At 38.6% G+C, this 17614-nt stretch overlaps 1 protein-coding gene across 12 annotated transcripts in view; it reads right to left on the reverse strand.

Annotated features, from left to right (window-relative positions):
• Positions 1–233: 233 nt before the first annotated feature.
• Positions 234–17614, reverse strand: part of RGS22 (regulator of G protein signaling 22) — a 145114-nt gene continuing 127733 nt past the window's right edge. For 9 of the 12 annotated variants that reach the window (NM_001286692.2, XM_017013310.3, XM_005250856.4 and 6 more), the window contains 6 exons: positions 17215–17373; positions 4633–4728; positions 2183–2276; positions 1985–2065; positions 1692–1741; positions 234–494 (listed from right to left, as the gene is read on the reverse strand). In NM_001286692.2, coding sequence (NP_001273621.1) covers positions 1737–1741; positions 1985–2065; positions 2183–2276; positions 4633–4728; positions 17215–17373 — 435 coding nt within the window. In that variant the 3' untranslated portion in view covers positions 234–494; positions 1692–1736. The remainder of the gene's footprint in view (positions 495–1691; positions 1742–1984; positions 2066–2182; positions 2277–4632; positions 4729–17214; positions 17374–17614) is intronic. The other 3 variants (XM_017013309.3, XM_047421681.1, XM_005250857.4) reach the window with 1 other exon arrangement.

The following is a 17614-nucleotide window of genomic DNA, read 5'->3' on the forward strand; positions in this document are numbered from 1 at the left end:
TAATAATAATAATAATAATAATAATAATATAGTTCCTTTAGAGTTGGGGATGGGGTAGGGAAAACTCTTCCTTTTATGTTTTGGGACAATTTACCACTTGGAATATTTGTCCCCTAATCGCCTGCTGAATACATCTGTTAACCAAATACAGTACATGCTCAAGGAATATTTGTTGAAAGATGACTTGAGGAACATAGCATCATACTTCCTTAATGACTGTGATAAGCAAAACATTTTGGTTCTTCAAACCTAGATAGTAGTTGTTTTATTCTAAATAAGTTAAACAGTTCTTATAGTCTTGTATGTCATGTGTACAGAATAGCTATAATTTTAAAACTGCGAGAGTAAGACAAGCCAAATTTTCTTTATTTATTTCCCACCTGGAAAATCCAGAATCAAACTTTATTTAGATGTTAGGCTTGCTCTGATACAGACCTTCAAAAAAACAAATCACTGGAGCTTCTCATGTCAGCAGAATCTGGTTTAAAGAATTCCTGCAAAGGAAACATAAATGGATGAAAATATAAACATCTATAGAAAATATAAATACAAATATAAATGCAAAACAACAAAAAACTTATATAGAATTGTTGATATGGTTTGGCTGTGTCCCCACCCAAATCTCATCTTGTAGTTCCCATAATTCCCACATGTCATGGGAGGGACCCAGTGGGAGGCAACTGAAGCATGGGGGTGGTTACCCTCAGGCTGTTCTCATGATAGTGAGTGAGTTCTCATGAGATCTGATGGTTTTATAAGGGGCTTTTCCCCCTTTTGCTTGGCACTTCTCTCTCCTGCTGTCTCTTGAAGAAGGACATGTTTGCTTCCCCTTCAGCCATGATTGTAAGTTTCCTGAGGCTTCCCTAGCCACATGGAACTGTGAGTCAATTAAACCTCTTTCCTTTATAAATTACCCAATCTTGGGTATTTCTTCATAGGAGCATGAGAACGGACTAATACAGTTGTCATAAGGATCAAAATGTGAGCAGGAGTGTCAGCAAATGTTAGGGAGACTATGAGGCTGGCCTGAGGGGTGGAGAAATGGGCAAAAGAGTATAGAGGCTAGGGTAAACTAGAAGAGAAAAAAATGAGTGGGCTAAGAACATTAAGGCCTACTCATCAAACCTCCCAAGAACCAGAAAACTAAGGATGTTAAGAAACCAAAAAGCTAATCTACAAGCAAAATATAAAAGAAACAGGACTTTTAACTGGGTTCTTCAAGTATTAGGTCAATGAATTACACATTATACTACATTACTAGACTACTTTGTAAGGCTTTGTTAAACTCTAACACTAGTATCCAATCAAAACTGTATAATCACCTCAGAATCTGTGTGAGAGAAGGGCCCTCAATTTTTAGTTCTTTTTTTTTTTAATTTTAAGTTCCTTCTAATATTCCCAGCTTAGAAAATCTTGGGAAAACTGAGCCATAGCCCATTCTTCCATACATGTTCTTTGCAGAAGAAAACAGACAAGGAGTAAATAAAAGCAATACATGATCACTCTCCAGAGGCCTTACTTCTTAGGAGACTGTGCCATTCAAAAGGGAGGCAAGGCTCTCCTCCCCATCGACTTATTAGTGGGACATGTTATATGTGTGGTATGCTGTGTGTGTGCATGCGTGCATGTACATGAATGAGTGTATTACGAGGACATGTGTGGGACCAACCAACATTCAGACTATGACGTACCTTGAACCTATCAGCAGCAGGATGTAAACATTCACAAGAATGCTGTCACTCTGGAAAAGACATGAAGTTTTATGTATATATTTAGTCTTTCCTCCTTAGCAGAGGAGAGGAACAGAGACAGAGAGAAGCAGGACTCACACACACGGAGAAATTCTCCTAAGTTGGGGGGCAGAATAGGGTGGAGGGGTCGGTCCTCACCCCTTCCTCCCTGTACATTCTGAATGGCCAGGTGAGAGGCAAAACTCCATCAAAAAGAAAGAAACAACTGAAGATAGACTACACTGGAAACTCACTCTGGCTGCTGTGGGCAGACATATTCTTTTTCAAAGACATAGTTGAAGAGCTAGCCTTAAAATTTGTGAGAGGTTGCAAGCCTGCACAAAAATAAAAGAGATAAGAAAAACAGTAAAGTAAATATTGGCAAAGTCTTCTAAAATTAATCTGTGATAAAAGATAAAAAAGTAAACTTGTAGGCAGAAGGCAAAAATTACCTGCAAACAACTTTTTTTCTAGTTCTTCTTGGATCTTAAGAAGAATTCTCTCCTGTTCTAAGGCTTCTATATACTTTGAGTAGCACCAGGTTGGCTAAAAAAAGCAATTTTCAAAGTTAATTCTGAAATGTTTGCTTTAGGAAATAAACTGAAGATAAGATGTCTTCTATCAGCCTCTTCATTTAAATTTTTATTAAAGTATAACACACATAAAGAAAAGTGCACATCACAAGTTTATAATGATATGAATTTTTACCAACTGAATGTACCCAGGTCACCTTTTAACTGGGTACCACAAATTATTATCAACCTACCTTAGTCCATTTTCATAAAAATATTTATGATAAAGTAAGTATATTTTCTTCCATAGCCTTGACAAAATGTTTAAATTCCCTGGTTTGCAGGGAGGAGGTGAGGTGGGAACGTGAGGGTGGTGATATTCTGTTTCTCAGTGAATCAATGTCAACAAAAGCTTTACAGATATATTGACAGCTATTCAGTCATCTTTATATATTCAATTTGATTGTAAATTTAGTGCTTAGGAAAGATCTTTATATATTCAATTTGACTGTAAATCAAGTTTTAGGGGGAGAGTAACTTTGCATTTGGATTCATTATAATTCTTCAATGTGCAAAATCTATCTAAAACAAATTCATATACAGTTAACCCTTTACATCCACAGGTTCTGCATCTGCAGATTCAACCCAATTGCAGATCAAAAATATTTTTAAAAATCAACAAAAAATAATACAAATAAAATATACAGTATAACTATTTACATAGCATTTACTTCTGCTATAGTATACTTAGGTAATATATGTAATCTAGAGATGATTCGAAGTATATGAGAGGATGTGGATAGGTTATATGCAAATACCATGTTGTTTTATATCAGGGACTTGAGCATCTTCAGATTTTGGTATCTGCAGGAAGTCTTGGAACCACCCCACAGTGGACACTGAGGAACAACTGTATAGGGCATCTACATTTACAAAATGTCAGTGTATTATTACTTTACAAATTGCTAAAGTAATTCAACATGTATACTTTAAACAGAAATCATTATAAGCTACATTTATATTTATAAAATATCTTTGGTTTCTAAAAGTTTTTTAGTTTCCTACAAAAATCTTGAATATGACAAGATAGCATCGTCATCACCACCATCATCATCATCATCCCTTTCTCTCTCTCTCTCTTTTTAACCGATAAGGTAAGAGGCTCAAAGGAAATTATGTGATTATATCCAGGTTTCAAGATAATACTGACTTGTGATAAAAAAAGATTAGAAGCCTGTTACCTCACACCTGTAATCCTAGCACTTTGGAAGGCTAAGGTGGGAGAATTGCGCAAGCCCAGGAGTTTGAGAGCAGCCTGGGCAACATGGCGAAACCTCATCTCTATAAAAAATACAAAAAATTAGCCAGGCATGGTGGTGTGCGCCTGTAGTCCCAGCTACTTGGGAGGCTGAAGTGGGAGGATTCCTTGAGCCTAGGAAGTTGAGGCTGCAAAGAGCCCTTGCACCCTTTAACCTGCAAAGAGTTATCGTACCAGTGCACTCCAGCCTGGGTGACAGAGCAAGACCCTGTCTCAAAAAAAAAAAAAAAAAAAAAAGCAGCAGCCTGATATCTCTAACTGGACCCTGATATCTCTAACTGGACATTTCCCCCTTTCACACTGTGTTTCTAAAATTTAATGCTAGTCATTTGCTAATGAATGGTATTATTTGCTAGGTATCATATGCTTTTAGATATCTCTTTCAGTATACAGTTCCATAAAATTGGATATTTCTCTTCTCTCAATAATAGCTTCATAGTTAGCCAGTTATCTTAGCTGGGTAACTGAACTTATTTGACATTCCTAAATGCCAAAAAGATTGTTTCTTGAGTTAGTATTACTCTAAGGTACAAATGCTTTCAATACCAGTCATCAAAAATAGACATAAGTTAAACATACGACATTTCAGGGAAGTAACAGTAATGTACTAGTTATAAATGTACATGTAAACACAGAAACCATAATGTATTGGTGGATGGTCATGTATGGTTAATTTTATGACTACTTCAAAAAACTAAAAATTTGAGACTAAGCATTTGACATTCTTCTGTCATTTTTTAACCCAAGAATACAACATCCTATATATATTCCATCTTGTTCTATTGTACTGTATCTGTCTTATTTTCTTTTCCAACAAGATGATCACTTCAACTTCTGCAATTTGTCTTCCTCATGTATCTCAAGAAGTTATTTTTCTTTATTAAACTATCTGGGATTGGCTGAAATTTTAATGAAGGCTCAAAGAAACTCCCTTCAATCTCTCCTACTATTATAATTGTAGGCTTATTTTCAAACAAACACATTTCTAGTACTGTACAATGACTGAGTTACTGCATTCCACTATCCAATGCTCCAGCGGGGAAATGAGGTCTGCACCATCTTGCATGCTTACCTGTCGGCCATATGGTTGGAGGCCTAGGAAGGAATCACTGAGTAAAGCAGTTTTGATAGCAGGCACTGAAGTATTTGCATATTGTTTGATTCCATCCTGTAATTATATTAAATTAAATTATTACCCAGAAAAGATAATGATATGTTAATATAAACTTATGGCTAAGGAGTTATAACATCATATGACATAATATTTCATAGTGAGTGCTGCACTTAAGGTTTCATCAAGTCAATATCACTAATGTGACAGAGTCTCCTGCTTTGATCTTTAATCTTATTTCATACTAATATAAAAATACTTTAAAATAAATGAGAGAAATGATTAAGTTGAATGTAAAAATCATTCCCAAATTCTGGAATCCAAGAAAAACCACTATAAACATTTTCATGAACATCCATCCATATTTCTCACTAGGGAAAATGCATAGATTCACAATTTTAATCTTTATATTTTATTATATAAATTTTATACAAATAGAATCTAACTACGTTTGCTCTTTTTAAATCTGCCTTTTCATGTAGAATATGTTGTGAAAATGTGAATAAATATAAAGCTGGAATGTATTCTGGGCCTTTGTATTTTTTACCATTGTTTATCTGCTGTAGAACAGTGTCTGCCACATAGTATGCACTCAAATATTTGTTGAATGATGAAATTAATAAATTACATCACCATTTTCAGTGGATGAATGATCTTATGCACTAAAAGGTTTGCTGAATGATAAAATGAATAAATGTTATCATCACTTTTGACAGATAATATTTTAGAAAAAGGATGTATCATAGATAATTTAATTAACAACACTCATTAGAAATTTAGGTCATTTTCTTACTCAGCAACAGAAAGTCAAAAACCACATGTTCTCACTTATAAGTGGGAGCTAAATGATGGGTACACACAGACATATAGAGTAGAGTAACAGACACTGGTGACTCCAAAAGTTGGGAGGGTGGGAGGCAAGTGAACGATGAAATACAACCTGTTGGGTACAACATACACTATTTGGGTGATGAGTATACTTCAAAGCCCAGACTTTACCACACACAACATACCCATGTAACACAACTGCACTTGTACTCCTAAATCTATACAAATAAAAAATTAATTAAATTTCCTTAAAAAAAGAAAAAAAAACTTACCCAAACTTAAGAGGAAAACACATTTGAAGTAATTATAACAAAAAAGAACCATGTATAATTGTATTTCAATTAATACAAATCTTTAAGAAAAACAAATAAGCCAACAGATGAGTAAAGAAGAGACACAACAGAAACTTCCCCAAAGAGGAAATGCTATGCTTAACAGAAATGGACAATTTTTTCAATATCCCTACTAATTAAAGCCATGAAAGTAAGAACATTTCATGCCTTTCAAATTAGTCTTTAAAAATGATAAAATGAGAGTTTCAATGTATGAATTTTGAGGAACACAAACATGTAGTCCATACCAACTACTTTTCATTTCTAGAACTTCATTATCCAAAACAGAAGCTCTGTTCCCATTAAATAATAACTCCTTACTGCCTTCTATCCCCAGCCCCTGGCAACCTCTATTCTTTCTGTTTCTATGAATTTGACTATTATAGGTACCTCATCTGGCAAGATGGCTGAATAGGAACAGCTCCCGTCTGCAGCTCCCAGCAAGACCAACACAGAAGGAGGGTGATTTCTGCATTTTCTCCTGAGGTACTTGTTCATCTCATTGGGACCAGTTAGACAGTGAGTACAGCCCACAGAGCATGAGCAGAAGCAGGGTGGGGTGTTGCCTCACGCAGGAAGTGCAAGGGGTCGGGGAACTCCCTCCCCTAGCCAAGGGAAGCCATGAGGGACTGTGCTGTGAGGAATGATGCACTCCAACCCAGATACTATGCTCTTCCCACGGTCTTCACAACCTGCAGGCTAGGAGATTCCCTCGGGTGCCTATGCCACCAGTGCCCTGGGTTTCAAGCACAAAACTGGGCAGCTGTTTGGGCAGACACCGAGCTAGCTCCGGGAGTTTGTTTTTTTTTTTTGTACCCCAGTGGAGCCTGGAACCCCAGCGAGACAGAACCATTCACTCCCCTGGAAAGGGGGCTGAAGCCATGGAGCCAAGTGGTCTCGCTCAGTGGGTCCCATCTCCAAGTAGCCCAGCAAGCTAAGATCCACTGGCTTGAAATTCTCACTGCCAGCACAAAAGTCTGAAGTCAACCTGGGACACTCGAGCTTGGTAGGGGGAGGGGCGTCTGCCATTACTGAGACTTGAGTAGGCAGTTCTCCCCTCACAGTGTTAAGTAAACCGCTGGGAAGTTTGAATGGTGTGGAACTCACTGCAGTGCAGCAAAGCAGCTGTGGCCAGACTGCCTCTCTAGATTCCTCCTCACTGGGCAGGGCATCTCTGAAAGAAAGCCAGCAGCCCCAGTCAGGGGCTTATAGATCAAACTCCCAACTCCCTGGGACAGAGCACCTGGGGGACGGGGTGGCTGTGGGCGCAGCTTCAGCAGACTTAAACATTCCTGCCTGCCAGCTCTGAAGAGAGCAAAAGATCTCCCAGCACAGTTCTCGAGCTCTGCTAAGGGACAGACTGCCTTCTCAAGTGGGTCCCTGACCCCAGTGCTTCCTGACTGCAGACACCTCCCAGCAGGGGTCGACAGACACTTCACACAGGATAGATCCAAGTGGCATCAGGCAAGTGCCCCTCTGGGACAAAGCTTCCAGAAGAAGGAGCAGGCAGCAATCTTTTTGTTCTGCAGCCTCTGCCGGTGATAACCCAGGCAAACAGGATCTGGAGTGGACCTCCAGCAAACTCCAGCAGACCTGCAGAAGAGGGGCCTGACTGTTGAAGTAAAACTAACAAACAGAAAGCAATAACATCACATCAACAAAAAGGGCACCCACAGAAAAACTCCATCAAAAGGCCATCAGCATCAAAGATGAAAAGTAGATAAATCCATGAAGATGAGGAAAAACCAGCACAAAAAGGCTGAAAATTCCAAAAACCAGAATGCCTCTTCTCCTCCAAAGGATTGCAGCTCCTCTACAGCAAGGGCACAAAACGGGATGAAGAATGAGTTTGACGAATTGACAGAAATAGGCTTCAGAAGGTGGGTAATAACAAACTCTTCTGAGCTAAAGGAGGATCTTCTAACCCAATGCAAGGAAGCTAAGAACATTGACAAAAGGTTACAGGAACTGCTAACTAGAATACCAGTTTAAAGAAGAACATGAATGACCTAATGGAGCTGAAAAACACAGCACAAGAACTTCATGAAGCATACACCAATATCAATAGCTAGACTGATCAAGCGGAAGAAAGGATATCAGAGATTGAAGATCAACTTAATGAAAACTCGTGAAGACAAGATTAGAGAAAAAGAATGAAAAGGAATGAACAAAGCCTCCAAGAAATATGGGACTATGTGAAAAGACCAAACCTACAATTGTTTGGTGTACCTGAAAGTGATGGGGAGAATGGAACCAAGTTGGAAAACACACTTCAGGATATTATCCAGGAGAACTTCCCCAACCTAGCAAGATAGGCCAACATTCAAGTTCAGGAAATACAGAGAATGCCACTAAGATACTCCTCGAGAAGAGCAACCCCAAGATACATAATCATCAGATTCTCCAAGGTTGAAATGAAGGAAAAAATATTAGGGGCAGCCAGAGACAACCCTTTATAGGTCAGGTTACCTATAAAGGGAAGACCATCAGACTGACAGCGGATCTCTCGGCAGAAACCCCATAGGGTAAGCCAGGAAAGAGTTGGGGCCAATATTCAACAACCTTAAAGAAAATAATTTTCAACTCAGAATTTCATATCCAACCAAACTAAGCTTCATAAGTGAAGGAGAAATAATCCTTTATACACAAGCAAATGCTGAGGGATTGTGTCACCACCAGGCTTGCCTTACAAGAGCTCCTGAAGGAAGCACTAAATATGGAAAGGAAAAACTGGTAACAGCCACTGCAAAAACATACCAAAATGGAAAGACCAATGACACTATGAAGAAACTGCATCAAGTAATGTGCAAAATAATCAGCTAGCATCATGATGACAGGATCAAATTCACACATAACAATATTAACCTTATGTAAATAGGCTAAATGCCCCAATTAAAAGACACAAACTGGCAAATTGGATAAAGAGTCAAGACCCATCGGTGTGCTGTATCCCGGAGACCCATCTCATATGCATAGGCTCAAAATAAACAAATGGAGGAATATTTACCAAGCAAATGGAAAGCAAAAAAAAAGCAGGGGTTGCAATTCTAGTCTCTGATGAAACAGACTTTCAACCAACAAAGATCAAAAAAGACAAAGAAGGGCATTACATAATGTTAAAGGGATCAATGCAACAAGAAGAGCTAACTATCCTAAATATCCTAAATATATGTGCACCCAATACAGGAGATTCATAAAGCAAGTTCTTAGAGACCTACAAAGAGACTTAGACTCCCATACGATAATACTGGGAGACTTTAACAACCCCCTGTCAATATTAGACAGATCAATGAAACAGAAAATTAACAAAGATATTCAGGATTGAACTCTGCTCTGGACCAAGTGGACCTAATAGACATCTACAGAACTCTCCACCCCAAATCAACAGAATATACATTCTTCTCAGCATCGGGTAGCACTTATTCTAAAATCAACAACATAATTGGAAGTAAAACACTCCTCAGCAAATGCAAAATAACAGAAATCATAACAAACAGTCTCTTGGACCACAGTGCAATCAAATTAGAACTCAGGATTAAGAAACTCATTTGAAACTGCACAACTATATGGAAACTGAACAACCTGCTCCTGAATGACTATTGGGTAAATAAGAAAATTAAGGCAGAGATAAATAAGTTCTTTGAAACCAATGAGAACAAAGACACAATGTACCAGAATCTCAGGGACACAGCTAAAGCAGTGTTAAGAGGGAAATTTACAGCACTAAATTCCCACATCAGAAAATGGGAAAGATCTAAAATTGATACCCTAACATCACAATTAAAAGAACTAGAGAAGAAAGAACAAACAAATTCAAAAGCTAGCAGAAAATAAGAAATAACTAAGATCAGAGCAAAACTAAAGGAGATACAGACATGAAAAACCCTTCAAAAAATCAATGAATCCAGGAGCTGGTTTTTTGAAAAGATTAACAAAATGGAACACTACCCAGACTAATAAAGAAGAAAAGAGAGAAGAATCAAATAGATGCAATTAAAAATGATAAAGGGGATATCAGCACGAATCCCACAGAAATACAAACTACCATCAGATAATACTATAAATACCTCTATGCAAATAAACTAGAAATTCTAGAAGAAATGGATAAATTCATGGACACATACACCCTCCCAAGACTAAACCAGGAAGAAGTCGAATCCCTGAATAGACCAATAACAAGTTCTGAAATTGAGGCAGTAATTAATCACCTACTGACTAAAAAAAGCCTAGGACCAGATGGATTCACAGCCAAATTCTACCAGAGGTACAAAGAGGAGGTGGTACCATTCCTTCTGAAACTATTCCAAACAATAGAAAAAGAGGGGCTCCTCCCTAACTCATTTTATGAGGCCAGCATCATCCTGATACCACAACTGGCAGAGACACAACAAAAAAGAAAATTTCAGGCCAATATCCCTGATGAACATCGATGCAAAAATCCTCAATAAAACATTTGCAAACTGAATCCAGCAGTACATCAAAAAGCTTATCCACCACAATCAAGTTGGCTTCATCCCTGGGATGCAAGGCTGGTTCAACATATGCAAATCAATAAACATAATCCACCACATAAACAGAACCAATGACAAAAACCACATGATTATCTCAATAGATGCAGAAAAGGCCCTTGATAAAATTCAACACCTCTTTATGCTAAAAACACTCAATAAACTAGGTATTGATGGAAATATCTCAAAATAATAAGGTCAATTTATGAAAAACCCATAGCCAATATCATACTGAATGGGCAAAAGCTGAAAGGATTCCCTTTGAAAACCAGCACAAGACAAGGATGCCCTCTCTCACCATTCCTATTCAACATAGTATTGGAAGTTCTGGCGAGGGCAATCAGGCAAGAGAAAGAAATAAAGGGTATTCAAATAGGAAGAGAGGAAGTCAAATTGTCTCTGTTTGCAGATGACAGGATTGTATATTTAGAAAACCCCATTGTCTCAGCCAAAAACTCCTTAAGCTGATAAGCAACTTCAGCAAAGTCTCAGAATACAAAATCAATGTACAAAAATTCCAAGCATTCCCATACACCAATAATAGACAAACAGAGAGCCAAATCATGAGTGAACTCCCATTCACAATTGCTACAAAGAAAATAAAATACCTAGGAATACAACTTACAAGGGACCTGAAGGACATCTTCAAGGAGAACTACAAACCACTGCTCAAGGAAATAAGAGAGGACACAAACAAATGGAAAAACATTCCATGCTCATGGATAGGAAGAATCAGTATCGTGGGATAGGAAGAATCAATATCATGAAAATGGCCATACTGCCCAAAGTAATTTATAGATTCAATTCTATTCCCATCAAGCTACCATTGACTTTCTTCACAGAGCTAGAAAAAACTACTTTAAGGTTCCTATGGAACCAAAAAAGAGCCCACATAGCCAAGACAATCCTAAGCAAAAAGAACAAAGATGGAGGCATCACACTACCTGACTTCAAACTATACTACATGGCTACAATAATAAAAACAGCATGGTACTCTTACCAAAACAGATATATAGACCAATGGAACAGAACAGAGGCCTCAGAAATAACATCATACATCTACAACCATCTGATCTTCGACAAACCTGACAAAAACAAGCAATAGGGAAAGGATTCCCTATTTAATAAATGGTGTTGGGAAAACTGGCTAGCCATATGCAGAAAACTGAAACTGGACCCCTTCCTTAAACCTTATATAAAAATTAACTCAAGATGGATTAAAGAGTGAAACATAAAACCTAAAACAATTAAAAACCCTAGAAGAAAACCTAGGCAATACCATTCAGGACATAGGCATGGGCAAAGACTTCATGACTAAAACACCAAAAGCAACTGCAACAAAAGCCAAAAACGACAAATGGGGTCTAATTAAGCTAAAGAGCTTCTGCACAGCAAAAGAAACTACCATCAGAGGGAACAGGCAACCTACAGATTGGGAGAAAGTTTATGCAATCTATCCATCTGACAGAGGTCTAATATCCAGAATCTACAAGGAACTTAAACAAATTTACAGGGAAAAAACAAGCAATCCCATCAAAAAGTGGGCAAAGGATATGAACAGACACTTCTCAAAAGAAGACATTTATGTGGCCAACAAACATATGAAAAATAGTTAATCAACACTGGTCATTAGAGAAATAAAAATCAAAACCACAATGAGATACCATCTCACACCAGTTAGAATGGTGATCATGAAAAAGTCAGGAAATAAGCTGGGCGTGGTGGCTCACGCCTGTAATCCCAGCACTTTGGGAGGCTGAGAAGGGTGGATCACCAGGTCAGGAGATCGAGACCGACCAGGCTAACATGGTGAAACCCTGTCTCTACTAAAAATACAAAAAAATTAGCTGGGTGTGGTGGTGGGCGACTGTAGTCCCAGCTACTCGGGAGGCTGAGGCAGGAGAATGGTGTGAACTCGGGAGGCAGAGCTTGACTCCATCTCAAAAAAAAAAAAAAAAAAAGTCAGGAAACAATAGATGCTAGAGAGGATGTGGAGAAATAGGAACACTTTTACACTGTTGGTGGAAGTGTAAATTAGTTCAACCATTGTGGAAGACAGTATGGTGATTCCTCAAGGATCTCAAACCAGAAATACCATTTGACCCAGCAATCCCATTACTGGGGATATACCCAAAGGATTATAAATCATTCTACTATAAAGACACATGCACAGGTATGTTTATTGCAGCACTATTCACAATAGCAAAGACTTGGAACCAACCCAAATGCCCATCAATGATAGACTGGATAAAGAAAATGTGGTGCATATATACCATGGAATACTACACAGGTATAAAAAACAATGAGTTCATGTCTTTTGCAGGGACATGAATGAAGCTGGAAACCACCATTCTCAGCAAACTAACACAGGAGCAGAAAACCAAACACCACATGTTCTCACTCATAAATGGGAGTTGAACAATGAGAACACATGGACACAGGGAGGGGAACATCACACACCAGGGCCTGTCAGGGGATGGTGGCAAGGGGAGGGAGAGCATTAGGACAAATACCTAATGCATGTGGGGCTTAAAACCTAGATGACGTGGCCAGGCACCGTGGCTCATGCCTTAATCCCAGCACTTTGGGAGACTGAGGCGGGCAAATCACTAGCTCAGGAGTTCAAGACCAGCCTGGCCAACATGGTGAAACCCCGTTTCTACTAAAAATCCAAAAAATTAGCTGGGTGTAGTGGCGGGCGCCTGTAATCCCAGCTACTTGGGAGGCTGCGGCAGGAGAATCGCTTGAACCCTGGAGGCAGAGGTTGCAGTGAGTCGAGATTGTGCCACTGCACTCCAGCCCGGGCGACAGAGTGAGACTCCATCTCAAAAAAAAAAAAAACAAAAAAAACCCAAAAACCCAGATGATGGGTTGATGGGTGCAGCAAACTACCATGGCACATGTATACCTATGTAACAAACCCGCACGTTACGCACATGTATCCTAGAAATTAAAGTATAATAAAAAAATGCATATTAACAAAAGTGTAGCAAAATGGGTATTTTCTGCCAATTTAGATTGCAGATCATTTTAAATTGGCATACACATTTTAATAGAATAATTTGTATCTTTTCTGATCTCTGAAGCTAAGCAGAATGGAGCCTGGTTACTACTTGCATGAGAGAGTAATTTGTAAATGTGTTGAATACCTTAAAATGGTTATACCCTTTCAGCAGTCAATTACACATTTAAATGTATAGTTTCATGAAGTAACCCAAAAGTTTGGTGATGGGCTGGGGTTGGGGAGGGGTGATTTTATCCAACAAGACCAATATTACAACAGCATAAGCAACAGTGAGATAGAAATGTTTAGATTTAAATGTTTGGTTAAATAACCCATGGCCATAACCCTTCCATGGAACATTTTCTAGTCATAAAATGCTATGTTCACAAAGAATGTTTAATGTAGACAATGCTTATGATACAATAGTAATGAGAAAAAAAAGATTAAAACTGCATATAACAAATGGATATAAGGCCGGGTGCAGTGGCTCATGCCTGTAATCACAGCACTTTGGGAGGCCAAGGTGGGTGGATCATAAGGTCAGGAGTTCGAGACCAGCCTGGCCAACATGGTGAAACCCCATCTCTACTAAAAATACAAAAATTAGCCAGGTGTGGCAACAGGTGCCTGTAATCTCAGCTACTTGGGAGTCTGAGGCAGGAGAATTGCTTGAACCTGAGAGGCAGAGGTTGCAGTGAGCTGAGATCATCCCACTGCACTCCAGCCTGGATGACAGAGCAAGACTCTGTCAAAAAAAAAAAAAATGGATATAATTATGTAAAACAAAAATAAAACCCTATGCATTAAAAAAAGTCTTAAAGGCCTGGCACAGTGGCTCACACCTGTAATCCCAGCACTTTGGGAGGCCAAGGTGGGCGGATTACTTGAGGTCAAGAGTTTGAGATACCTGGCCAACATGGTGAAACCCCACCTCTACAAAAAATACAAAAATTAGCCAGGCGTGGTGGTATGCACCTTTAATCCCAGCTACTCAGGAGATTGAGGCAGAAGAATCGCTTGATCATGGGAGGTGGAAGTTGCAGTGAGCCAAGATCACGCCATGGCAGTCTAGCCTGGGCGACAGAGTGAGACTCCATCTCAAAAAAAAAAGCCCCAAAGAAAAGACATTAAAATGTAGTCACTATGCATAGATGGTATTAATAAAATAATAGTAATAATATATTGGTATTAGATTAGAAACTTGTAATATTAAGATTATTCTATATTGTTGAACCAACATCTGATAAATCTGTTTGCAGTGGTGACAGAATTTTAAAAGTACCTATTATTTTCTTATTACTAATAATCCTTAATTAACCTGGTGATATTATCAACAACACAGTTCACTCTTGCTTTAATAATGGAAATCCTGTATTTTATTTCTCAATTTCCTGTGTAGCTGGCTAGGGTTATGCTATATTCTGTAAAGGACAAGATATTTTGCTAGTGTGGCACAAATTTGAGAAGACCCAAGGCCTAGCATTTCATAGGATGAACTTGTCCTTGACTTTTTATATCCAGATGATAGTGTGTATTGCCATTAAAATAATTAGATGACCAAAAAAAAAAAAGAAATTTGGGTCACTTTCAACTTTTTACTATTATAAGTGATGCTGTGTATATACATCTTTGTGCATGTTTATGATTCTCTTATTTATTTATTTATTTATTTTAAAATTATTTGTAGAGATGAGGTCTTGCTATGTTGCCCAGGCTGGTCTCCAACCCCTGGGCTCAAGCAGTCCTCCTTCCCTGGCTTGCCAAAGTGCTGGGATTACAGGTGGGAGCTACCTCACCCAGCTGATTCTCTCCTTTAGAATAAATTTCTAGAAGTGTATTTGCTGATTAAAAAGAATGAACATGGCCAGGTGCCGTGGCTCAAACCTGTAATCCAAGCACTTTGGGAGGCTGAGGTGGGCGGATCACTGGAGGTCAAGAGTTCGCGACCAGCATGGCCAACATGGTGAAACCCTGTCTCTACTAAAAATACAAAAATTAGCCTGGCATGGTGGCATGTGCCTGTAGTCCCAGCTACTCAGGAGGCTGAGGCACAAGAATCACTTGAACCTGGGAAGCAGAGGTTGCAATGAGCTGAGATTGCACCACTGCACTCCAGCCTGGGTGACACAGCGAGACTCCATCTCAAGAAATAAAATAAAAAAAATAAAAATAAAAAGAATGAACATGCTTTTTATGGCAGACTGAACAGACTAATACAATATGATACCATTTATGTAAGTTAAAAAACATTAAAACAGTACTTTGTATTGTTTATGAATGCATCCACATGCATGAAACACTGTCTTTTGTTTGTTTGTTTGTTTGTTTGTTTTTGAGACGGAGTCTTGCTCTGTTGCCCAGGCTGGAGTGCAGTGGCGCCATCTCGGCTCACTGCAAGCTCCGCCTCCCGGGTTCACGCCATTCTCCTGCCTCAGCCTCCCAAGTAGCTGGGACTACAGGCACCTGCCACCACGCCCGGCTAATTTTTTGTATTTTTAGTAGAGACGGGGTTTCACCGTGTTAGCCAGGATGGTCTCGATTTCCTGACTTTGTGATCCGCCCGCCTCGGCCTCCCAAAGTGCTGGGATTACAGGCGTGAGCCACTGCGCCCGACTGAACCACTGTCTTTAAAAAGAGCTGGACAAATATATCCCAAACTTAATGACTGCTCCTAGATATAGGGAGGGTTATAGAACTCAGGGCTGAGGTTACTAGATCTTACTCTATTTGCAATGTTTTATTTCTAATGGGAAAAAGAAAAATAAGGCAAAATGTTAAAAGTGTTTATTTTGGCCTGCACAAATAAATGTGAGTGTTCATTATATTACTTTTGTGTCTTTCCGTGTCTTTTACATTTATTTTTAAAAATGAAATAGGTATAAGCTTATAAATAAGATGAAACATGTTATTTGGGAGCAATTACCCCTTCTTAATTAAAACAGATAAATATAAAGAGAGAAAGAGACCAATGAATGAATGAATGAACGGACAGATAGTAGACAAATAGGGAGGCTGCCCAATTTGTGACTTGTTTACACATTTCACAATGTATCATTCTGTAATTTTTCTTTTTTTTTAGATGGAATATCACTCTGTCACCCAGGCCAGAGTGTAGTGGCATAATCTTGGCTCACTGCAACCTCTTCCTCCAGAATTCAAGCAATTCTCCTGCCTCAGCCTCCCAAGAAGCTAGGACTACAGGCGCAAGCTGCCACGCCCGGTTAATTTTTTTTTTTTTTTTTTTTTTTTTGTATTTCAGTAGAGATGGGGTTTCACTGTGTTGCCCAGGCTGGCTGCGAACTCCTGAGCTCAGGCAATCCGCCCGTCTCGGCCTCCCAAAGTGCTGGGATTACAGGCGTGAGGCACCGTGTCTGGCCCATTCTGTAATTTTCATATTGAAAATGTTGCCCCTGCCAGTACATACTATTTGTTCATTCATTTCCTGATTTATTCAATAAACAATATTAATAATTAAGCATGTGCTGGACACTAGTGTAAGGACTTATAAAACAAGGATAAGGCGGATACTATCATTGAGGATCTTAGTCCAATGAAGATGACAGACGTAAAAACTTAATCACAGGACTATATAAAGCATGTTCTACAAGGTGGAGGAACGTTATTGCAGCGGATGCAAGCTGCTTGCGTTGCCACAGAGAGTCAAGGAAGTCTTCACTTAGAAGAGATGACATTTGAAATGAATTTAGAGGAATTCCAAAAGTCTGAAGCTTCTGACTGAAGGCTTAAAATCCACTAATATCTGTATTCCATAACTTCTCTCTATATATCCCCAGACAAAATTATTCTATAATTCACACATATCACATAACTTTTAAAAGTCTGATAAAACCCAAAATGAGTCTTGTCTCACCTTTCCAGATTTTTCGTCTTCTAGGACTGCCAATTTTTTTTTCTGCTTATTATATTCTTGTCTTCTCTCTAAAACACTCATAATATTTTCATCTGTTAAATTCTTCCTAAACTCACAGAACTGAGGCCAGAATTTAAACAGAACCCCAAAAATTGTCATCTGTATAAAAAAAAGTCTAAGATTACAATTTTATACAAAGGTACCAATTTAAACTCTATTCACCATAATAACAGATTAACTATTATATCTTTAATATATACCATGTTTGCTCCAACTTATTGTCTCCAGACATCTTGGTATAGTTTTGCTCAGCACATGCTTATCATCAATGGTTTTTATTACCAATGAGAAGTCTTTCTTTTAAAAAAAAATACATTAAATACACTTAAAAGTCACTTTA

This window comes from Homo sapiens, chromosome 8, assembly GCF_000001405.40.
Source record: "Homo sapiens chromosome 8, GRCh38.p14 Primary Assembly".
Classification (NCBI taxonomy): domain Eukaryota; kingdom Metazoa; phylum Chordata; class Mammalia; order Primates; family Hominidae; genus Homo; species Homo sapiens.